This window comes from Homo sapiens, chromosome 1 (genome assembly GCF_000001405.40).
Source record: "Homo sapiens chromosome 1, GRCh38.p14 Primary Assembly".
Classification (NCBI taxonomy): Eukaryota; Metazoa; Chordata; class Mammalia; order Primates; family Hominidae; genus Homo; species Homo sapiens.
This window is the reverse complement of record NC_000001.11, coordinates 184478365-184503774: the sequence shown is the minus strand read 5'-3', so window position 1 is coordinate 184503774 and position 25410 is coordinate 184478365. Positions and strand designations below refer to the sequence as shown.

Genomic DNA, 25410 nt, shown 5'->3' with positions numbered 1-25410 from the left:
CTGCAAAGCTTGGAAGGAATGGGGTCTGACCCACGAGTTCTAGTTTTGTAGCTAGCAATAGGTCAGAACCTAACATCTTTATTGGGTTGAACACAAGTTTGTTGGAGAGGAATTAAAGAGCAGAGAAGAGTGAAGGCGTCAATCACTTCAGCATAGCTAACTATGGTTTACTTCTACACTGTCCTCATCTGGAAGGTGTACACTCAGTACAGTCTGAGTACCTATGTGCTGGGCTCTGTACTAAGCGATGCAGGGATGTAGAGGAGAGGGGACGGAGGACAGCAGAGAGCGCCCAAGGAAAACCAGCTGTCTTGAGGGGAAGACTAATGCTCTGAGAACCCATCTTCTACTTGACTGACCACAGATAACTAGGGCTGACTCTAAATTTGGAGTAAACTTACACACAAAGACTCAGCTAAAGAACCTCATATACCACTATCAATTCCCTGAGTCAGGAAGTCCCTGAACGATAACTACTGTCCTCACTAGTAGAAAGTGATTTAGTCAGTTCCAATGTAATAGTCATTATTAAGCAACTTTTAGGGTAGTTATAAACTTCCTAACAAGAAGCTTTGGTACACTTAGTATAAAATATTCTCAGTTCCTTCCAGAGTTTGCTTCAAATTAACCTAATAGAGGCAAACATTTCAAAATAAGATTGCTTGATACATCTTTTTTTTTTTTTTTTTTTTTTTTTGAGACAGTTTCTTACCCTGTCACCCAGGCTGGAGTGCAATGGCATGATCACGGCTCACTGCAACCTCCATCTCCCAGGCTCAAGTGATCCTCCCACCTCAGCATCCTGAGTAGCTGGGACCACAGGTGCACACCATCATGCCTGCCTAATTTTTGTATTTTTTGTAGAGGCAGGGTTTCACCATGTTGGCCAGGCTGGTCTTAAACTCCTGGACCCAAGCAATCCTCCCACCTCAGACTCCCAAAGTGTTGGAATTACAGGTGTAAGCCATCATGCATGGCCACGTTAAGTTCTAATAATCTAAAAATATGATTTGTTAAAAGTAACAAGCAGGAAAATTATGTCTTTAAGTTTGCAGAGACTAGACATGAAAGGTGTCTGACCACTGTATCTCTACGAGGGGAAGTATAAAGACTGTACATATTTGTAAATATCCCTTATGATACCTCATAATCCAAAAATGTTAATGTCACTAAGACAGCAATTCTCATATGCCTTTTGTATCCTTATTCACTACTGAAACCTAATGCTTATTTACATTTAAATCATAGATAAACAAGCAAACGAAAAAAAAAAGAAATGAAAAGCCCTGTGGTGGTGCTTATTATTGCTTGGTGGTTGCTATGGTTTGAATGTTGACGTTCCCTCCAAAATTCATGTTGAATTTAATTCCCATGACGGTGGTATTGAGAGGTGGGGCCTTTGGAAGGTGATGAAGTCATGAGGGCTCCACCCTCATGAATGGGATTACAGCCCCTTGTAAAAGGCCTTGCAGGCGTGAATTTAGCCTGCTTGCTTTCCACTTTCTGCCATGTGAAGGCACAAGCGGACTCTCATCAGATACAAAATGCAGGCACCTTGGTCTTGGACATCCCAGCCTCTAGAACCGTGAAAAATAAATTTCCATTGTTTGCAAAAATACCCAGTCTGTGGCATTTTGTTACAGCAGCACAAATGAACTAACACAGTGGTGTAAGACTCATCTCAGTGCAGCCTCACTAATAAAGGGTATTATCATTTTGTAAAATATGTAATAAATTGAAGGATGAAAATGGTATCTAATTTTTATTTTTGTTTAATGTTTTAAAATTTACTAGTGACACTGGATACTTTTCCTATGTGTTGATCATTTATTTGTATTTCTTTATTTGTGAAGTGTCTCTTCATATCCTTTGCCCTTTTTTTCTTATTAGAGGTGTGGTGTTTTTCTTATTGACTTCTATGAACTCCCACAAATCACACCATTTTATGGGGACACTTCTGGCCCAAAAAGGTCTGAGCAAAAATACCTCTTGATTTTAGTCCAGACATAAAGATGGAAGAAACTATCTGCTTTCTGTCCTTGAGTCAAGTGCTGGGCACTATCCCCTGCTATCCTTTCTGTGTTTCTTCTTTACTTCAACAATATTTATAAAGCACCTACTGTGTGCCAGAGACAACACTCAGCCCTGGGAATATGTCTAGGAAAGGAAGCAGTCAGTCCCTGTTCTAAAGGAGTTAATGGCGAGTAGGAGAGGATGTAAGAAAATAAGAAAGTAGTGTGTACAGTTTTTATGGCCATGAAAAGCACATGTGGGGGTGGTGGTTATAAGAATAGAAAGAAGAGACCCCTAATCAAGGTTAAGCGGAGTCTTGGAGGACGTGATATATCTCAGTGGAGTCCTAAGGAACACAGCTCCTATGTGTGGGAAGGAGCTTTCGGGCAAGGGGTCAGTGAATTCCAAAGCCAAAGGGAGCACAGCAAATGGGGGGAACAGCAAGTCATGCAACATGGCAGACATGAAGAATTCCAGGAGGTAAGACAGGTGTAACAAGAAAAGGCTGATAGGGCTACAGGAACCGAAGACCTTATACAAGTCTTACTAAGGAGTCAGGCTCCATTCTGAAGGTGATATGGCCTCCCTGGCCAGTGTCCAGGCACTGAAGCTGCCATTAATAGGCTAAGCCTCTTTCCTCTGGCCTGTCCTCAAGCATCTCCTCTGGGGAGACTCCTAACCAGCTTAATCCAGGGCTTTCTGCCTCTCTCTGAAAAAAGGCAAAGGTGGAATTGATTAATACATCCTGAGATGGACCAGTCTGTTGAGGCAGGTGAGGAAGAACACATGGGGAAGACTAGGAAGGAGCCAGAGAAGTCACAGCAAGTCTCAAGAGGGAAGAAGGGTCAGCTGCCGGGGGGCTGGGGGTATGAGGCTTAAGATGCAACATATCCCAGGGCCTTGTTTCCTGCCTCCTCCAACAGACATGCCTTCACCTGAAGACCAGGAGGCATCACTGTCCTCAGAATGAGGAGCAGTCATGACTTATCCTAGGGGAAAAAGAGAATGCCACTGAATCATGATCCCAGCTCCTTCTCCTTTAACTGTCACTGAAACAGCACACCAGTGAATTACAACGAACACAGCACTGGCTTCAAAAGACCTTTCTCTTCTGCACCTGGCTTTGTGACTTCCCAGCTGTGTGCTGTGGAGATTGAGTATAGACCTCTCTGGGTGAACTGAATGAGCTGAGATGCATATGCACAGGATGATATAGTCTCTTAGCAATCCTAGGGTCTTGCCCATGTTTTTGAGAGCACAAGATGAAAGGCGCCCTCAGCTGCAAGGAGGAAAGGGTGACCTTAGGGTTCAGAGGTTCTATAAGAAGGATCAAAATGATAAAGCTTCTGTCACGACAGCACCTTTAATAATTAAGAGGTCCAGGACCTGCAGGCCCCATTCCTGAATCATTTCATCATTCCCGAGGCCAGACAACACATTTCCTTCATTCATCTGGGGTTCATTATTCAGTGACCAAGGAACTATTATCCAGTCATTAAGGGCCCTGGAACATTCATCTTCTGACAAGCTCCGACAAAAGACACAACCAGATCCAAATCCAGCCTGGACTCTTTTAGGAAGGTGCACTGCAAACCAAGGCTCTCTATAGCAGGAGGGGGCTTAACACCTGTGCTGTACAGTAATCATTCCCAATCAAGGAACAGAATGAGTGGCCAAGGATTCAGAGCCACTTCCAGAAAGGGAAGACACGCATGGTTGTTCTGAGAGACATTTATCTAATTTCCCAAGAGTCCTTCTCTGACTCTCCTACTGCTCATTTTCCACCCACTGAAGAACTGCTGGGACTCTTGAAGTCGCAGGTCAGCTAAATCCTCTCAATTACTCCTAGCAGGATTCCTGTTATCCTTGGTAACCACTCAGGATAAAAGGCTGTCCTAGTCAGCTATCCTCTCCCCTGCTTTGACTTAATCCTCATGTCTACCCTATGAGGCCAGTATCATGACTCTCTTTTACAGTTGCAGAGAGATTTGTCCTTGGTTGGTTAGTCACAGGGTAGTGCTGGGCTCAAATCCTGGTTGGTCTGAGTCTAGAGACAGGCTCTTAACTACCAAGTCAGTTTTTTTTTTTTTCCTACCACAAAGCACAAGAAGTAATTTTTTCAGGAGATGATGTAGGAATAAAGTATATCAGAAAGAATGTGGACACATTTCCAAATCATAATCCTTTGTAAATCACAGAGAGATGAGCAAAAGTTAGAAGTACATCTAGCCTTCATGGATAACATCAGAAAAACTACCATATCCTCTCTTGTCACCTCTCTGGGGCCTTTATCAGTGGGAGAATACCAGCCCTGTGCTACTTAAGTTAGGAATTCATGTGATATCCAAAGGAAATGCTGTGAAATCTTGCGTTAAAATGATGATTTGACCACCACTGCATCTAAAAGGAGAAAACTGAAGTTTTTCTCCAATATATGGTAATTAATGCAATGTCTTTACAACTTGTCTTAAAGTAACTTCATTTTAAGGCCTGCTGATATTCTGCTAGAACTTAGACATATATTCTTAGCATTAAGGCCAAGCAATAAAATCAAGGATATTTTCCTTCACTAAAGTGAACAGGAGCAGAAAGGGGAAGAGGAGGAGGAGGAAGGGGAGGAGGAAGAAGAGGGGTAGGAGGAAGAAGGAGAGGAGGCAGAAGAGGAGGAGGAGGAGGATAAATGAGAGCTACCATTTACAGAGCCCTTTCAATGTTCTGGATCTAGTTCTGAAAGTTTCACATATAACCCATTTAATGCTGACAACAGCTTTATGAAGTGGAACCATTAATGTCTCCATCATAAAGAAAAGGAACTAAGGCACAGTTATCTAGCTGTACATCTACAGAGTGGTGGGACTGGGCCAGGCCTTGAACCCAGTGGTCTGATTCAGAGCCCATGCTCTTATTAGTGTTTCCCACAAATGGGTAGTGAAGTAAATTTCTGATAAAATGAAAAGTTCTCTTTGTATACTGATATCCATTACAAAACCTGCAGGACTACAGCACTTCACAAAATGCATCATTTCCACAAACAGTGATGTTCTTTTTCAGGGTAAACTATATTGCAATAACAGCAAATATGAAAAGATACTAATATAGTATCTCACATGCCCTCCTTTGTATATGAAATCAATGAAACTCCACCATCATCAGGAGGACCTAAAACATGAGTTGTTTTTCCAGGGCTAGGAATAAATGTCTGCTGACTCATCTGTAGTTACTTCTTCACTGCCATCGAGACTGACGGTTATGGATTTACAGGATGGCTGTTAGGATTAGGAAATTATATGATCATTCCAAAAACTCTTCTTCATTTGTGTGACTGCCTTCTGAACATTTAACAATTTGGCCAAAGGTGAGAGAGAGAGAGAGAACGCATAGACATACACGCATGGATGCATGTCTTAAGGAAGAAATATATCTTAATGATCTTTATGCGCATCTGACTTAATTCATTTAATTGGATTTGGTCTTAAGTGAATTTCGGTGAATGAAAAATTCTCAGATAACAACCATCACAGAATAAAGCATTAGCCTTTGAGCATCTCAGGCCCCCACCCCCAAGCCACCTGGTGGAGGAGAGCTGCCTTTGGCCAGATGGGCTAGTGCACTTTTGTGATGCAGATTGGGGAAGGGGTGAGGAGGTTAGTGGGAGAATTGTGGCGGTCTGGATTGACATCGGAAAGAGCAAAGCTAATGAGCGGCATAGAATAGATACAGCGAGGCACTGAAAGCCCAGAGTAGGCTGAGCAGGAGGGAAAGTTTTGCAGAAGATGAGAGAGATGAGAGATTTTTGAGGTAGAAGAGAGACAGATGAAAAGTCATCAGAGTGGCAGAGAGCTATAGATTCTTGGAGGGGCAGGCTTCAGAATGTTGTGCTGTGGTTTATGAATGAGATTATTCAGTATAAATTTAAATTGGTTTTCAGTGATATTTGGTGCTTCTTTTCGTATGTCTCTGGGCTGAAGCTGGCTTCCAGGAGGCCTGACTTTATCTGGGTTATACAACTTTTAGAAAGAATTCAGTGGCTGCAAAATCATTAACGAAATAGGAAGAAACTGGACAGAGTCATTTTCAGCTCAAGTAATTCTCTTGTATGAGCACTGCCAATGAATTTTTAAAATGGAAAAATACATCTGAAATATCTTCTGTGATAAAATTACATCATTTCTCTCTTTATAAAAAATATTCATGACTTGACTTTCCACTGCAGATCTCCCAAAATCAGTGCTCACATTCGTGAAGAAAGCCCCCTGAAAGCTGGTGGGAGCACCCACTCTCGTGTGTGCACGCGGGGAGGCAGCAGGCAATCCCTCTCCTTCTTTCCTTCTGACCGTCTGTACCTTTTCTCACAAGAGCTTCATTCACATAAAACAAAAGATCATTTCCAGTTGATACGAATCACCAACTTATTTTCCCCTCAGAGACTAAAGTGTGTTCTGACAACAACAAAGAATAGCTCTTTAGGAATAATGTCTGGGTGAGTGGGGAAAACGCATGCTCCATGATAGCTTAATGGTGGGCAGCACAGTAAATATGAACACACTAACTTCCACAACCTGGGAAGCTTGAACAAGCCTATTTTGGCAACACATTCTGCTCAGTTTGTTTGTAAAAGATGGTAGCTGTTCTGAATATTTATCTTTTGAGGAGAGGGTATGAGGATTCATTCATGAAGGTTTCAGAGCGGTTCGATTAAATTAAAATCAACCAAAGAAAGGTAGGCTCTGTACTGAGAGCCTGAGGACATAGAGCTGATGCAGAGGTGGTCCTCATGGACCCTCACCCTCCATCTATTTGTAACCTATTTAAACGTAGAGTAAGACACCTTGAATGTTCTTAAAGGTAATGTTATATGCTGCTTTCTCAAAAAAGATGTGCAATAGAAAAAAAGAACTGCAGTAATTTCTAGAACTTTTAATGATTTTTAAGTTAGACATTTTTAACCTATAGCAAAGTATGAAAGGCCTACATAATTCTGTATAAACAAGCCAAACGTAAACTGGGGTGGATAGCTCATACAGGGTGCAAAACAGCCACAGCACCTTAGCACATCTTCTCTACTGTCTTCTTTCAAGCGGAGAGCTGCTCTTCTGAGATGCTGCTTGTGTTTGAAGGCCTGAGTTAGGTAAAATTCCAGAATTCAATAATTTTCAAGTATAATGCATGACCTGGACATGGTCCAATATTCCTCTTATTTGGTTTGCAACTGAAGCAGCACATACAAGGTGCAAAGAGATCTTTTCACCTGATCAAGCCAGTGGGTGAATGTGACTCTCCACCGCTCCCACTGGATCTGAGAGAGGTGTGCCCGAAATCCGGGGGTCTTGGCAGCACATAAACAATGAAATATTTGCCAAAGCAGTAGGGCAAGAATTGCAGGTTTACTGTCTTTTATACTCTCACTATGTCAGTTTCCAGAAACAGCTGATATCACCACTTGAGGCAACTGTTCCCTACAGAGCAAGCCACATTACCCACTGTAAGGTCTGGGTTTTAGGCCTTGAACTCCTTCCTGCACTAAGACTTCAGTCTCCTTTTAACTGAGGAGAGCCCAGAAATTATCTGTTTGTGTCTCCTTCAGGATGCTCTATGGGTAGACCTGGCCTTGGCTTACCAAACCCCATGCAAATAACCTGTTACCTGCCCCCTTTTCTACCCCTTCCAGTGGGCCACTCCTTTAACATCTCATCTTCCAGGATTCACCTTCTGCCAACTTCTCTTCACCACACAATCTGCAGAAGCAAAGAAACCCTCCAAAAACCAACTTTCTACAAAAAAGTGAGTGTACCTAACAGAAAGCTTACATACTCACCATATCTTTTTTTTTTTTTTTTTTTTTTTGAGACAGAGTCTCACTCTGTCACCCAGGCTGGAGTGCAGTGGCACGATCTTGGCTCACTGCAACCTCTGCCTCCCGGGTTCAAGCAATTCTCTGCCTCAGTCTCCCGAGTAGCTGAGATTACGTCACCTGCCACCATGCCAGGCTAATTTTTGTATTTTTAGTAGAGATGGGGTTTCACCATCTTGGCCAGGCTGGTCTTGAACTCCTGACCTCACGATCCACCCGCCTTGGCCTCCCAAAGTGCTGGAATTACACGCATGAGCCACCACACCTGGCCCACCATATCTTGTAATAAACAAAAACAGTGTCTTTTACAGAGAATATTGATGCTATTTGATGGTGATGCTGGTAGTGGGGGGAGGGAGGGAAGATGAGTAAGTATATTGACGTTAATTTTTTCTTTAAAAGGTAACAATGCAAAGCAGAAAGGAGATTCAGAATGGGAAATTATCTGGGGGCTTGGTTTGACCTCCACAGAGATCTATGCTTCATTTGCGTATTTGTTCTGTCTTCTCATAGAGCACTGCTCCTATTCTGGGAAGACATAAAAAGAAAGATAAACTGAACTGGGATGGTGGGTACAAGTGAAGAGGATGGGAACAGGGATCAAAGCTCAGAGCAGCTCTTGGAGATCAGAAACTGGAGCTCAGAGTTCCATGAGGAACAAAAGAGTGTAGGGATGAGAGTCTATGTTGCGGGGGGAAGGCAAGAGCCAGGTGAAAGGGAGGTGGCTGTTACAGGAAGGGAGGCGAGAGTAGAAACTTGCCTCTTCGGGCACCCTGGCCCTTAAGAAACTTGCTAAAAATGAACAAGCAAGCCATGTCTGAAACCCCTTCACTCTCAGGTTGAATGAAATGAGATGTCACTGTGTGACGATGACATGCTGTGCAGATGAACTGCAGTCCCAGGAGGTTCTAGGGCTGCAGCACTTCTCCTCACTTGGGCCATGCCCTGTGCCTGGGTACAGCTGAGCCCTGGAAACTGAAGTAGGAATTTAACTGTTAATGATGTTCTTTTTATCCCAGCTAGCATCAAACAAATTTGCCTCAAGAAGGTAAAAAAAAAAAAAAAGCAAAAGCAAAAAACATTAATGTAGAATTTTGACCCTATTAATCCTTACAGCCCCATCTTAAAAATCTTTGCTTTCACAATTTTCAAATTTCATTTTTCATTCCATGTTGCTAAGCCTCAGACCATGGTCATTGCTCTAAAACATAAAAACTCTGCCTCCTGCAAGCCACCACTAAAGAGGAGCTTGTATTGGTACAAAATTCTACCTCCCACTGCTGCCCTTAACAGAGAAAACCACAGATACAATATGCTCTAATGAAGCTCATATTTAATCATTCCCCAATATCCCAAGCCCGCCCATATCTCATTATCTCCATTCATACCTCCCTAATCCAGACCACCAACATCTCTTGCTAGGACTACTGAGCAAGACTCTAACTGGTCAACTGCTTCACTCTCTTCCTATAGTCTATTCCCTACGTAGCAGTCAGACCTCATCACTCCCCTGCACTCAAAACCCTCTCCTGACTTCTATTACCTTTAGAACAGAAGCCAGTGTACAGAGCAGTACAGTCCGGCCCTGGACTGCCTCTGTGAGTTTGTCACCCATCACCCTACTGGCACAAGGGCATCAGGCTTCTTCCTGGAATCCACTAGCCAGCTCCCTCTCAGAAATTTGGCTTTGTTGTTTCTCTGCCTGAAACATTCTGTTCCCAGGTATTCTCATGGTTTGCTCAAAGGTCAGTTCCTCAGATAGACCTTCTCTGACAGATGACTCTGAAACAGCCATCCTGTCAACTCTCCATCCCCTTTTGTATTCTCATGACACTTTTCCCTGACAGTACATGTTTGTCTCTCTTTTTATTACCTTTATTACCTGCTAGAATGTGAGCCAAATGAGGGCAATCATTATCATATTACATGTTATATCTCTTAGTAAAATCCAGTTTATAGTATTTGCTCAACCAATAGTTCTTAAATGAATAACTTTAATTTTCAGAGTTCCATCAGAGTTAAAAGCACATTGTCTTTCATTTTAACATGCTGGCCATTTAACAATTGCATCATGGGAAACAAGGCAAGAAACAAAGGAGGAAAGCTGCACTCCAAACTCAAGATCTTATAAACACTTTCAGATAAAAAGACATCTCTTGAGTGACAGAAGGCAATGAAGACTAAAAGGTTAATGAAAAAATATTGTGTTAAACAGCTAACACAATAAATGCAAAAATACTTGGTGCCACATTAAAAATAAAATCCTATTTCATACATAATTTGACAATTTCTTCTTTGGTTATAGATCAAAATCAACAGTGACATTTATACAGTGAGGCATGCATATCTATAGCTGGAAGGGAATTTAAATGTAATTTAGCTTGTCTTGAATGTGGTTTTCAAATGAAAATCAAACGTAGTCTAAATAAAGATTTGTACTCGTGTGACTGTTTTGCAATTTGAAGGAATTAATTAGCTTCAAAGATGTGCTATTTAACATCATGATTTTTCACTTCACCCTTACTCTTTTACCTTCAATGCTTATAGCCATGTACATAAACTTTTAAAATTATTTTTAGATAAAATGTAAATGTACATTTATATTATAGCTTCCAGCACAGATTATTACTATGAAGAAAGCTGACTATAAACATTGTATTCCTCACGGCCTGTGTCCTCTCCAGCAGGCATCTTCCCCAGCTATGGCTGTTCCAACCAAGAAACTTTAATTATGTAACCTTTAAAAAACTGTCAAAGACCATTTTTATTCATAGTTTAAACATGTGTTGTGAGTTACATTTTAGAGAATTTTATATATACTTAATATTATAGCCACAGAAATATAATCCTTTAGAATCTGACTTTCTGTAAATTTTTACTTCTTCTTGCCCTATTATAGTCTGGCTGGACCAACAGAGTACAGCTATATAAGTTAATAAACAAAACCACACTCTCAGAGTGATCAGATCATAGTACAGTAGCTCTTGAGAAAATCAGCAACCTGGGAAATTAAATGTTCTCCTTTTGGCCTAGATTTTGTTTATAACTGTCTTCTATTAGATATTTCATTATCCTTTTCAAACAACAGGACCAATCTACCCTACCCTGACTTCTACCACAAACCTTTAAACAGAAAGCCAACAAATGGAATCCTTCACTGACTAGCAGCAGCTGCACAGCACCAATTTAAGCATCAGTGGATGAAAGATAAATTTACAAACCAGCCAGCCAAGGTGGAAGCAGAGATACAACTCCACACACTTCAAGCTTTCTCACCTTCAGGCTCATGGTAATGTTCTGAAGCTACAGAAGATATTGGTGATACTTCTTTCTAATTTTTCATTGAAAAAGTAAATATCACAATGCAATTAACAATTTGGTCAACTCTGGACCATAAAGCTTTTAATAGCTGAACACTACCACCACCACCATTTTTTTCTGAGAGCAATCAACAAAGCAATAATCATATATAATCTTGCCAATGGCTCCACTGCAGGAAAGAAACTGACACCACACAGTTGAGTGAATTGTCCATAGTGTGGGGAGCAGGTAAATAGAACCTTTGAACATTAGCACTCAACACTCCCATAGCAATCACACAGTTCCACCCACTCACTCCCAAGACGCAGAAACCAGAGCCCACAGAGGTCACCCTGTAGCATGGTTACTCTGTGGCAGAATCCAAATGTAACCAGGTTCTGCAGGCAAGTCAATGGCTTCTCTATAAACTGGGCTCACTGGGCTTTACAGCCACTTGTTTTTGTTTATGTGCTTGTTCTAATAAAACCTTACACAGCACATAGCTCACTGTGATCTCTAAGAGGAGTTATTTCTGTGAAGGTTTGCTTACAGTAGAAAATTTGAGAAAAACTGAGAAATTGAGATTAAAGTTACAAAGAATGAAGATGGCTCCGTTTCAAATTAGTCATTGTCAAACTCTGCATCATGCTTCTGATTCCTTCTCTTCCTAAGAGACTTTACGCCTCAGAATGAAGAGCAAGACAAGGCCCGTTAGCTAAAAATAAACTTGAGATATGGAATTATATCATAGTTATTTCCTATCTTTACTTTTGTTCTCATAGCTTAAGCAACCTCTTGGGTGCAGGGCTGAAAACAGGCAAAATGAAACCAAACCACTTAACCAGTGTCATGTGAGCTAGCAAAGCCCCGAAGGTCACTGTCATTGATGATTCATAGCCTGTGGCCCAGAACTTTGCTATAAGTAACCATAACGGTTACTGCTAAAAACAAAGGAAAAGGGCCGGGCACAGTGGCTCATGCCTGTAATCCCAGCACTTTGGGAGGCCAAGGTGGGCAGATTGCTTGAGCTCAGGAGTTCGAGAACAGCCTGGGCAATATGGTGAAAATCTGTTTCTACTAAAAATACAAAAAATTAGCTGGGCATGGGGGGCTTGCACCTGTAGTCCCAGCTATTTAGGAGGCTAAGGTGGGAGAATCACCTGAGCTTGGGAGGTTGAGGCTGCAATGAGCTGGGATCGTGCCATTGCACTCCAGCCTGGGCAACCAGAGTGAGACAGAACCTGTTTCAAAAAAAAAAAAAAGAAAGAAGGAAAGTACTACACACACTAATGATATCTGCAGGTAAATGAACTTTAAGGAAAAAGTTTTGCTTTTTCTGAATGAAGTTTTTATTCTTCTTATTAAAAAAAGCACTATGCTAAACTTTACTGTCATAAAGATGAAAATGTGCTGTTTATGAGAGAATAATCCAGAGAACTTTCTAAATAAAGTTCACTGATTATTTATACAGCACTTTTTGTGTGCCAGGCATTATTTTAAGTGTTTTATTACTTATTAATTCATTTAATCCTCATAGCATCTTATGAGGTAGGTTCCAATTTTACAAATGAGGAACCTATCAGTTTGGTTCCCAAATTAATATGATTAGCCACTATACCTTGCTCCACAAGTTCTTTCTCAATGTCACCACCTACATAGTTATAAAATGCTTTTTTTTTTTCACAAAACTTCTTTAGAAAAAGGGATGTAGAATATTTGGAAAATATAAAAGAAGTACAAAAACTAACTAGTAATCAGCACCACCCAGAGATAATCATTACTAACCCTTCCTGGTAAACGGTCTCATCTACATAAGGCCATGTTCTGGCATTATTACTCAGGGTTCATAATCATCTAACCTGAGGTGAGGCTGAACACTTAGACAGCTTAAGGAATTAGCATCAAATTTTCTGTTTTCTAAATCTTCACCTAACTGCCAATCCCTAACATGATTCTTACATTGTCTATGTGAGCTTTTAAGTGTCTTGAAAAAAAATCCAGAGTAAAATTTTCAAATATTTAAGACTCCTGCCGTTAATGTGAGATTCTCTAAAGTTATGTCTCCACCAGTTGGTTAAAGTTTCCCAGTCTCCCCTGCTATATTGTATGTGTGGTGTACCTCTAAGCCTTTGTTCTCACTGACTCTCAGCCTAAACCTCCTGCTCTGTCTCACTTAGTTCCTTTGGCTGGTATTCATATTTTAAGACTCAGCTGAGGCTTTAATCATCCTCTTTACAAGTCTTCCCCCACTCCTTGGAAAAAGAGACCTTTTGCCTTATCACCCTATGGTACTGACATTTTCTGTCAAGATGTCCATCTATTGCATCTTTACCAGTTCCTTAAAGGCAGGGACCAGGTTTAACCCGTCTTTACAGCCTCCGTGCCTAGCACAGCACCTAATTCATGCAAGGTAGTCAACGAGTGCTTCTTAGGATGAAGTGAAATGCTAGGTTTTAAATGAAACCAACAAGTGCCAGTCATCAGACTCCATCTGTATGCCTGGGCTAACATTTCTATCAGTCAGATCCCTGTTGCCCTGGGGCTATTTCCAGTGATAGTGCTTTCTCCTCTGGGATAGATTTCACCATTGCCCTGAAAACACAACTAAAGGCCTTCTGGAGATGGAAACATTTGAATTATATTTATCAAAATAAACAGTTGTAGTGAATGATAAATGTTAAACATAAAAGATTCAAGACACACAGAAAAATACAAAGAAGAAATTAAGAATCACCTGAAACTTCACAATAAAGAGACTGCCATCGTAAAAGTTTTGGTGAATGGCCTTTCAAACACTTCTTTTATGCACTCACACAGAATTTTACATATATTTTAAACAAGTAAAATTTACAAACAAGATATGCTGCATAAAATCCCTTTACTAATTTCACTTAATAATCTGTCACAAACCTTTTGCCATATCAATAAATATAGAATACCTTGATCTCTAATGGCTCTATTCCATGCATGTTTCATCAGTGAGAAAGACCCTTGAACACACAGGTTTGCACACTTGTCCAATTACGTTCCTAAGATAAATTCCTAGCACTGGGTCTCCTGGGGCAAAGGGCATGCTCATTTACATTTTTGATATATGTTACTATTTTGTGCCCCAGAAAAATTGTTCTGCGTTGACATTCTCCATTATAGCATGAGACAGATGCCACCTGTTCCTGCCCAATCTGAAGGGTAAAAAATGTTTTGTTTTGCTTTGGGTTTTTTTGCTGGTTTGTTTTTTTGGTTTATTTTATTACTGAGAAGTAGAATATCTTTCTGTACTCTTTTGTCCCTTTATATTTTTTCTCTTTTGAATTGCCTGGCCATGAACTTTGTCCATTTTTCAATTGGTATGTTAGTTCTTTCCTTACAGATTTTGAAGGGTCTTTTTCTATTAGTCATATTAACTTCAGTTGTATTGCAAATATTATTCTCAGTTTGACATTTGTCTTTTGACTTAGTTTATGGTAGTTTACTTTTTGCCAATCAAAATTTTAGATTTTATATAATCACAGTTTATCACAAACTTTTTCTTTTGGTATTGGGTTTTGTAGCATTAAGAGAAAGACATTTTGCAACCTAAGATTATAAATATACTCACTTGCGTTTTTTGTAGTACTTTTACAGTTTCTTTTCTTTTCTTTTTCTTGAGACAGAGTCTCGCTCTGTCGCCCAGGCTGGAGTGCAGTGGCATGATCTTGGCTCACTGCAACCTCCGCCTCCTGGGTTCAAGCAATTCTCCCGCCTCAGCCTCCCAAGTAGCTGGGACTACAGGCGCACGCTGCCACATCTGGCTAATTTTTTGTATTTTAGTAGAGACAGGATTTCACCGTGTTGCCCAGGCTGGTTGCGAACTCCTGAGCTCAGGCAACCTGCTCGCCTCGGCCTCCCAAAGTGCTGGGATTATAGGCGTGAGCCACTGTGCCCAGCCTACAGTTTCTTATTTGACAGTTAAATTTTTAGATTAATCTGAAAAATTCTAATATGAAGAGATAAATTGGGGGATTTCATTTTTAATATTATAATCACAAATAACAGAATATCTTCAAAGAATAAAATGTGAATTGAAATGGTACCCAATTAATTGGTATATCTTTTTATTTCAGCTGCTTATGGATGCATTTATCCCATTACAATCACTGGGGCATCATCTGTGTCTGCTGCCTCTAGCCCTCTCATGGTGCTTTACTCCTTACTTCTACCAACATCTCACTCTGCATGATAAACAAGACACACACACTCATGTATAGATTTATGGTTGATAAGCAAAAAATGTATTTGTTAACCTCTATGGTGGGATTTCTTTTAAACTACACTTTGAAAGAAATGAGGCATAATATTATATTCATCATTCCTGAATCATGCATGTCCTTTGGTCTTTTCATTTAAAAGACAAATATTCACGTATACATCTTACACAGTACAGAAACTGGTCTAGGTCAAACCAGAGAAAGAACAAACCATAGGAACACACATATCTTAAAATCTAAAAGAGATAAGTATTACATGGACAATTGATCATCTTTTAAGTTTAGAGAATTATACATCTACAAATAAACTGATGACGCATTCTCCTCCAGCGTAATCAGAGGAAACCAAGCAACCATTTTCAGAAATGCAAACTGCATAGGTCAGAGGTCTGCGCAACTGCAGGCTGCTAATATGATGATGAGCATACTAACTCAGTGCTTATCATGTGCCAAGTACTATGCTAAGATTTACAAATATTAATACATTTTAGTCTCACAACAGCCCTATGAAGGCAGGCAAGTACTAGTTTTATTCCCCACACTACACAGATGGGAAAACCCAGGCAAAAAGAGCCTCAAAAATTTGCCAAGACTACATGTTAGTGAGTAGCCGAGCCAGGATCTGAAAACAATCTGCCAGATTTTCAGTCTGTGTGCTTACCATAACATTGTATTTCAGTTCCACGGAAAATAGCCCTAATGACCATATTAGAATCTCCAGACATCCTCATTTAAAAACTGAGTCTGACCTCAAGTGGCCAGTTAACAATGACTTCTCAAAGACTTCTGAGCAAATGTTGGTTTGGACTTAATATCAATGTGTTATTCCCAAGGAGGAATCTCCCTTAGTCGAGTCAGCATCTGCCATTGTAGCCACCGTCCCACTTCTTAAGTGAACTGGGGTAGTTTTTAACTTCAGTTTCCCCTTCTATCAAGTAGGGATAATCATGATAATAATTACGTTTGAAAAAGCCTCATACACCGTAAAGCACAAATCCAAGTTGTAACGGTTCAGGGGCAAAATAACCAGTCACATGTAAAGTTCCAAGTGCAGAAGGCAGGAGCTGTACTAGTCTCTACGGAGGACAGCCAGGGCCTAATGAGGCCCAGGGGCCAGGTAGGGGCTGCCTGGAGAGGTGCTCATAGCAAGGCAGGTCCCTTCAGTCACACCAGCCAGGAGTCCAGGAAGAAGCCATTGTTTTGAATGTCTGAATCTGTAGTGTCACTCAGGAGAAAATAACTCCAAGGGGAAGTGCAATAGGTAAAGAAACCTTTGACTTCCTCTCTTGTCACTGAGGCACGTTTTGAGAACTTCCCTCATCCCCAAGCAGGCCTTGCCTGCAGCTCCAGTCCTTTCACCTTTCACTGAATGGTGCCAGAGGGCCAGGAAGCACCCAGCAGGTCTCCACTGCTACAGACAATACAAGCACTTGAAGGGGCAAGGGAGTAATTGAAGAAAACCAAAGGGACTTGGAGGGCCCTGCCAGCGTGTCCCTGCCAATGGTCTCTGAAAACTCAGGTGCTCCCTCATCTTGCAACCCAGCTGCCTGGCAGCAGGGAGTGACAAATGGTCTTATTTTCTACTTATCTCTCTAACTTCAAAAGAACAGGCTCATGATACCAGCTGGCAAGGGAAGGAAAAGTAGCACTTGGATTTTTTTTTTAATATAGAAAGTATAGAGCATTTCTTAACTTTCTGTCATAGAAAACGTTTCCAAGTAGAAATTTTTGCTGGCTTTACCTCAGCTAGACCAAACTTGGCATCAAGGCGGCATCTAGCATGGTATCTATTTTGTGCTGGCCGAGGGGAGGAGAGTGAAGAGGTGGGGCCAGTCTACTCAGGCCCATCTACTATTTATAACAAGTGCTTCCATGCTAATTGTGCACTGGCCTTGTTCTGGACGCTCTCCTTATTAACTATGTGTTCCTCCTCAGAACTCCAAGTGGTGGATACCATTATTACCTCCATATTATAGATTTGGAAACAAATGCAGCTAAGTTATAAATCCAAAACAGCACAGGCAGTGGTGACACTGGAATCAAACCCCAGCTGGTAAGACAGAATTCACAACTACTCCATTCCATGCTCACATACACGCATGTTTCATTTTCCCTATTGAAATGAGCATCAGCATGGCCCAGGAACCACCTAAAAGGAAATAAAACTAACATATTTTGAGCACCTTCTCTGAGTCAGACACTGGGCTGAGCACTTTTACTTCAGAAGAATGCAGTTAAAAGCTCTGAGCCAAGGTCGACTGGCTTCTGTGATTCCATGAGCCCCATGTGCACTTCGAGCCATTAAGACCTTTCTGAGGCTCAGCTCAAGACATCAGGGAGTCTTCAAAGCCTAAACCCAAGACCATGTTCCTCACTTATCTTGACTTAAATTTCTCAGCTTTTATGACTATAATCTGGCCTATCACAAATCCGTCAAACACTTCTCCTGCCCTTAGGGCTCTTTACTGTCTCCTATGATTCACTAAAAACAGAAAAAGGGAAACATGATTTTCTCTCTCACCTTCGGGAAATAACAGCTTCAGAAGCCAACAGAAGCTTCCTTATGCCAGCAAAACAGCTACAGTAGAGGCAGCTAAAGTCTATCACTAAGCAGCACAGAGAGGAGCAAGGTGGCATTGCTCCTGTTCATTGGCCAAGCTGCCTCCCAATTCTGCCTCTCTGGTGGTCCCCCATGTACCCCTCTTTGCCCAAATCACCCCCTGACACACAAAAGGCTGAGTGTACACACCTAGTGCTCACTTAATGCATAGAGATTCCAAGCAGAAAATGAGGGCCACTGCCTCCATCAAACTCCTTTTCTCTTAGATCCAATAAAAACTAAAACTTGAAAGAGAAGGAAATTCTCACACTACCACTGCTACCTCTCAGTCACATAAATCAGCACTGTGCAATAGAAATATGTGAGTTATGTGTGTACTTTTAATGCTTCTAGTAGCCACATTAGATAAAAAGCAGCAGGTGAAATTCATCTTCATATATTTTATTTAACCTGATAGATCTAAAATATATCATTTAACATGTAATCAATAATTATTAATAAGCTATTTTATATTCTTTTTTCATATTAAATATTCATTTAATATGAAACTTAAAAGCTCATTTTACACTTACAGCACATCTCAATTAGGACTAGTCACGTTTCTCATGCTCAATAGCCACATGTGGCTCATGGGTACTGTGCTGGACTGCACTGACAAACATTATTCTCTCTGTTACTGTCCACAAACACAGGTATCTTTAATCCATCTTCGCTGAATGCAATCAAAAATTATGAGACATAAACAGTGAATTATGACTTTGCCTCCAAGTGCTTTTAATTTCTGAATAAATCTGATGTATTTTCTCATTTAATTTTCACCATAACCTTGTGAAATAGGTCTCACAGCATTTTAGATGAGTAATAGATTGGCATAACACCATCACACACACACACACACACACACACACACACACACACAGCCACAAGCATCTGTTATATGCTCTCATTTAGGTACACCCAAGGATCAGAACTTAACTGAAGCCACATAGCAATACAAAGTCCAAGTGAAAGAAAGCAGCCAAATTCTTGCTCGCTTTACTGCTGCTCAGTCTCACACCATCATTCCAGAAGAATTTACTGCAATAATCTAAGCCCCTCCATTTAAAGGGATGTTTATAAACATCAGGCTTAAGCCAAACTTGGCAGCAGTGCAGGCCACCTTAGTTATATGGGAGGGCTGGTTCAGTCAGTGCCCAACCTGATTCCTGAACAATCTCTCTGCCTCCAGCTCCTTGGCCATCTGGGAGCCCTCTGTCCTCTCAAGCCCATGCAGTTCCTGCCTTCGGGGAGCTAACCAGCTCACAAGAGAGATTAGACATATAAACAAATAAATCAAATAAACAAAAAGTATTCTGGGATGGCAGGAAAGAGATACCTTCTGAAGGTATTAGAGGAAGCTCTGTATAAAAGTTTATATTTGGAAAACAAGCAGGATTTAAAGACATGAAGTCGAGAAAACGGGCCCGTGCCAAGCAGAGGTCACCATGTACTGGAGGGCCTAGAGCAGCGAAGATGCAGGATAAGTTCACAAGGCTGCCTTGCTCAGTTGACTGAAGAAGGCGATCATGAAGGAACAGAGTACAAAACAAGGCTGCGCCTGTAATCTTAGCACTTTGGGAGGCCAAGGCGGGTGGATCACCTGAGGTTAAGAGTTCAAGACCAGCCTGGCCAAAATGGTGAAACCCTGTCTCTACTAAAAAAAAAATACAAAAATTAGCCGGGCGCGGTGGTGGGTGCCTGTAATCCCAGCTACTTGGGAGGCTGAGGCAAGAGAATTGCTTGAAGCCAGGAGACGGAGGTTGCAGTGAGCTGAGATCACGCCACTGCACTCCAGCCTGGGCGATGGAGTGAGATTCCATCTCAAAACACACATACACCCCCCACCCCCGCCCCACACACACACACAAAGGCAGCAAAGGTGGATATGAGCCACCTTCAGGTGCCTTGGATGTTCACTAAGGATTTGGGATTTATTGGCACAAACAGAAAGTTCTAGAGAAGATTTAATACCAACAGAGGAGTACTTTAAAAAGCTGATCTGATAGTGGTGCCAAAAAATGAAGAAGTAAAAACAGACCAAAAACAAGCAAAGGAACAAACAAGCAATAAAGGAGGTTAACAGGAGATTCCTCCTGAGGACACTGCAGTTCTTGGGGTGATGGGCTGTCACAGCCTAAACTACAGTGGTGGTAAGAAAAGCAATGCTAGGAGAGAGTGAGATTTATAGGATCTGGAAACTAACTGCAAAAGCCAAAAGTGACTCAAGTTTAAAGCCTACATTATTGAAACACTGGAAACAGAAAAAGCGCAGAAAAGGAAGTCAATATAACTGTAAGAGTTTCTCCCCACTTGGGGGCGGGCTGCAGGAGAGATCATGATCTCAAGCCTGACGTATTAATTTCCCTAATAAGGCCTAAATGTGTTCTATGCACCCACTTTAGTTGTCTAAGAGAATGACTGTTGAAAGAAATCCAATAAGCACTTGGCCTTCTAGAACTTGCTTAACCAGTTCATGATAACTTGAACCTGTTGGTCACTTACTTTTTGCAAGCTGGTCTTGGCAATCTGCTCAGCTGTCCTCTGAATGACCTCAGCAGATCTGCTGACCACTATTCACATCTGCCCTGACAACTGAGAGAAGGAAAATTCCAATCTGAAGATGAAACCTTCTGAAGTGGATCTGACCTCTGAAAGGGCCACAGTGTGTCAGGCAGAACTTTAGATCTGAAACTTTTTATGCTTCAACACTTAAAGTGAAAGAAAATATGTAAGTAAATATCACTGGTGAAGTTCCTTGTCAATGATTTCCTAAATTTTCTGAAATCTAGGAGTCAAGATGCCCATTTAGCATTTAATTCTGCATGGTGGAACATGCTACAGAAATTCTGTCACACACATTTGTTGTGGTGGAGCTCCTAAATAACCAAGACATCATGGCGCCCAAACTGCTTCAAAAAAATGGAAATTACCATTTGTATAAACACATTGGGCATCAAAGCTCCTGAGGATGTCTTCAGAAGCTTTGAAATTAAATTAACACCTTTAGGAAAAGGATCAAATGTGTGTGTACACACACTCAGAGACACATACTTCAGAGCCATCCCCAAATATGCCACCCTTCACAGACTTTGTCACATCTTCAACAACATGTGGTAATAACATTTAAAACATTTTAAATGTTTAGCTTTTAAAGCATAAATAAGGTCACTTTATTCGGTGAAAAACAGAGGGGTATTTTAGAAAGCAGAATATAATTGTCCAGGTTGAAATATATCCCAGTCATGGAGTCATAATTTCCTCTTGCAATGGGCGTTGGTCTCCAAAGACGGCTCCCAACAATTCCTCCTCTTTCTACGGGCACATTCTCAAGAGGTGGAGAGACTCTATTCCCTCAACTCTAGGCTGGTCTTATGACTTGCTTTCATCAACAGAAGGCAGCAAATGTAGCATTCTTGAACTTTCAAGCTCAGGTCCTAAGAGGCCTGGCAGCTTCCACTTTTTCTCTTGGAAGCCGGGCTGAAAAGTTTGGCTACCCAGCTGGAAAGAGTGGCCTTGTGGACAGAAGCCCAAATCCATCTGGGATAGCTGAGTTCAGCTGAGATCCCAGCTGTATGCAGCTGCATGACTGAGCCCGGGAGAGAACAACAGATGAACTCCAGCCATCCCCCAGAATCGTGAGGAATAATAAGCTGGTTATGTTTCAAGGTACTATGTTTGGGGTATTTGTTACACAATAAGAGACCACAGAAATAATGGGTTACAAATGGTTAAAAAGTGGGCCTATCACTATCACTCATCTGCCACCATCTGTGATCATTGTGGGATTTTGAAAACTTCTTCTCCTTGCGAATTAATTTAAGTGAAGAAACACAGACAAGACCTTAACTCGTCATATTTAAAATGTGATATTCAGTAATATCTAGGGTACTGGAACTGTCTTGACATTGGATTCTGGTAATTCTTCCCCCAGAGCCCTGCAGGGCTAGAAAAAGTATCTCCCTTGATTGGTGAAGTTCTCTCCCCATTGTATTCCTGCTGTATTTAACACAATCCCACAAACTTCCTAATATTTATGTTAGAGAGATTAACAAAATGATAGAATGCTGGAGTAAATAAAATTTCAATGTGGGTGTTGGGAGGATGAAGAAAATTTAGCAGAGGCCTTAAACGACGCTTTATGGCATGAACTACACAGAGGCACAGAGAGAGCAATGACCAGGTGGGCTTGGGGTAAACTGATTTTTAGCCCCAATCTTGACCCTCCCTGCACCTATACCCTTGCTGTAAATGCACTGTGGTCAGAGTGTGCTTTTTTGCCTAACTTTGGGCTCACTCATGTGACCTGCTTTGGCTAGTGGCATGTGGGTATGAGTGACAGTGTGCCAGCTCTAAGTCCAAGCTTCAGAGGCACCATATGTATCACTTGCACACTTGCCCTTCTGTGAAAGGAGATCATGCCCCCACTAGCTTGCTGGTCCCTGGAGAAAGATGAGAGATACATAGAGAAGTGTCACCACAGCTGACCCACCAATTCATAATCAAGAAAGAAACAGTTACTGTGGAATGCGACTGAGAGCTTCAAGTTGTCTTGTAACCAAGTATCCCCATTTTTCTAAGAGAGAGAGTTTTTTTTTAAGTTATTTCTTCTTTTCTCTTTCCTTCTTTTCCTCTGTTCCCATTTCCTACCTAGCTCTTCAGAAATGCAATCATAACCTTTACCTTCCCTTCACCAGACACTCACTACACTGGAAGCTTATCTAACTACGTGCTTACTTTGAAGCTCCAGGGCAGAAACTCTCTCCCACAAGGAGATTGCCTCAAGAGACAACAGTCAATTTGCAACCTAAAGTATGTCCCTGATGGAAGGCTCTCCCACCTGGAGAGTGTCTTGAGACAAAGGCCACTATACAACCTAGCTCTGCTTGTGATGCAGCCAGCTCGACCACCAGTAGATTAAGCACGAAAGCGAGTCACGCAGACCCCCAACTGCTCACTCCCTCCTCTGAATGCCATTCATGCCAAGTCCCCCTTTAAAAGTCCATGCTTTCTGCCCCAAAAGCAAAACAGTGCTCTTAAAGGCAGGAGCCTGTACCTCTTCCCCCAGGCTAAGCTATGGAATAAAGTCACTTTCTTTATGCCAGACCTCGCTCTTGTGAATTAGACTCTGCAAGTGGCAAGTGACTGAACCTGAGTTTGTTACAGTCTACGCAGCAATAGTTGACTAACACAAAGCTCCTTTATCAGATGCTAACATCTGCAAAATACACATGGTGCTTTAGAACAATAGAGTCTTCCTGGCTATACAAGTTGTGAAGGGATGGTTAAGTGGTCTCATTGCCAAGCAGAATGTAAGCACAACGTATTGAATATCACCAAATCTTGCTCTGACAATCTAAGGTTATCTTTTTAAAGACTGTCATTTGGTATTCGAAGTTCTCCATAATTTAACCCTAACTTAGTTTTCTAGCCAATTCTGTCCCATTTATAGTTTATGTTCCATTCATTAGTTCCATAAATTAGAATATTTATTATTCTTGAATAAGTCTTACATTACCTAGCTGTTCCTTTTCCAGTTTAGATTGAGACAGGTTTTGTTCTTTCAGTCCTTTAAGGCCAGGTTTGGATGTCATCTCTGTAAGAAATCTGCTCTGATTCTGCGGTTTAAGGCAGAGCATCTATCCCCTGACTGTTATCATGAGGTATGTCTTTTCCTCTTCGGGCATTTGGCTTATTCTACCTCGTAACACTTCCTTATCTTCTTACAAAGTCCTAGATGGCAAGGTTTATGGATTATTTACCTCTGTAATCTCCATGGCATTTAGCAAAAGGCCTTATACATAGGATACAGACCAATCAATACTTTTGTGCATTAAAGAATGAGGGCCGGGTGTGGTGGTTCATGCCTGTAATCCCCGCCCTTTGGGAGGCCACGGTGGGCAGATTGCTTGAGTCCAGGAGTTTTAGATCAGCCTGGGAAACATGGCAAAACCCTATCTCTATTAAAAATATAAAAAATTAGCCAGGTGTGAGCGCACGTGCCTGTAGTCCCAAAGCTACTCAGGGAGCTGAGGTGAGAGGATCACTTGAGCCCAGGAAGTCAAGGCAGCAGTGAACCCTGATCGCACCACTGCACTCCAGCCTAGGCCACAGAGCAAGACTGTCTCAAAAAAAAAAAAAAAAAAAAAAAAAAGACCTATGGGAGGCTGCACGGCATCAGGAAACAACATGGAGAAAGAAAGGTGGACTTTGGAGTCTGAGCAATCTGGATTCTAGCACTTCGTAGCTGGGTAACCTCGGACAAGTCCGTCTCTCTGTGTTCAGTTTCCAAGTATGTAAAATTTGCGTAGCACATATTTCACAAGATTGTTGTGAAAATTCAACATAAAAATGAATGTAAATGCCTTGCGATGTTTGACACATGGTGACGGCTCCATAAATGGTAGCTCTATTATAAAAATGATAATGACACAGGACATCAGGTAGAAGTTAAACAAATCCCTGATGTTAGATTATTTTCTCTTAAAAGTCAAGCGTTTCAGGATGACAGTAATGACTCTAGTTCCAATCAACTCTTTCCCTAAAAACTGTGGTTTCAGAGATCTGGACTGTAGTTTTATTAAGATGTTCATATATGTTACTCTTCTCCACAGTTCTCAATGCTATAGGTAGTTACCAGTAGAAACAAATTTGTTCCAGGCAATTAGTGCATCTCCTTGGAACAAAATGCAACAGTTTTCTTCCCAAACACACGAGTCCACTTTTAACTGTGGCTTAGCTCTTTCGTACCATTCCCAATTCTTCACCAGGAGACTAAAACAATCATTACAATGAACCAAAAGCTAGAGATTCTAAAAGTAGTAGAATTATTTGACAGTGACTGAATGATGCAGCTACAGTTATTTACACGTAAACATTATCTCAGTGAGGTTCTACAACATATCTCTATGATGTCCCTTACTAAGAGTTGAAGAAGTGTTTTTATAAATGAAAGCATCGTGCAAATGTCAAGTAGTAGGTATTATTGTTAAAATAATTCCACAAAAATTGCTTCATCTGCCTGGTACTAATTGAAATTTTGTTTATATATCCATACTTCAAAATAATCATCTAAGGGCCAATCTCAAGATCAGGCAAGCATAATAGCCTGTAAGTGGCCAGGTAATGTCAATGAGCAAACTGAACTCGGTGTGCATGCACCGGGGAAGCGTTAGCAGTTCACTGGAGGCCACAGCCTGGCTGCAGGGGCAATTGCTACCCCACCTCCTGACGGTTGTCTCAAGGAATGAAGACCTATTGCTGCCAGCTCTTTTGAAGAAATTTGAGGTTTTATGTGAAATATCCTGATTTTTAAAGGCTGTCTTGCTTTTTATTTTAAAATTCTTTGGGGAGGGGGCAAAAAAAATGTATTTGCAGACCAGGTGTGGCCATGGGTTGCCAAT

General features: G+C 41.2%; 1 protein-coding gene across 1 annotated transcript in view, besides 1 other annotated feature; it reads right to left on the bottom strand.

Annotated features, from left to right (window-relative positions):
* Nucleotides 1-25410, bottom strand: part of C1orf21 (chromosome 1 open reading frame 21) — a 241991-nt gene that overhangs the window by 125245 nt on the left and 91336 nt on the right. The window lies entirely within an intron of this gene.
* Nucleotides 8357-8426: an enhancer, noted in NCBI's record as "active region_2234". NCBI's record gives its function as "activates an Ori minimal core promoter by ATAC-STARR-seq in GM12878 lymphoblastoid cells {active_cell/tissue: GM12878}" and the evidence as "EXISTENCE:reporter gene assay evidence [ECO:0000049][PMID:35858748]".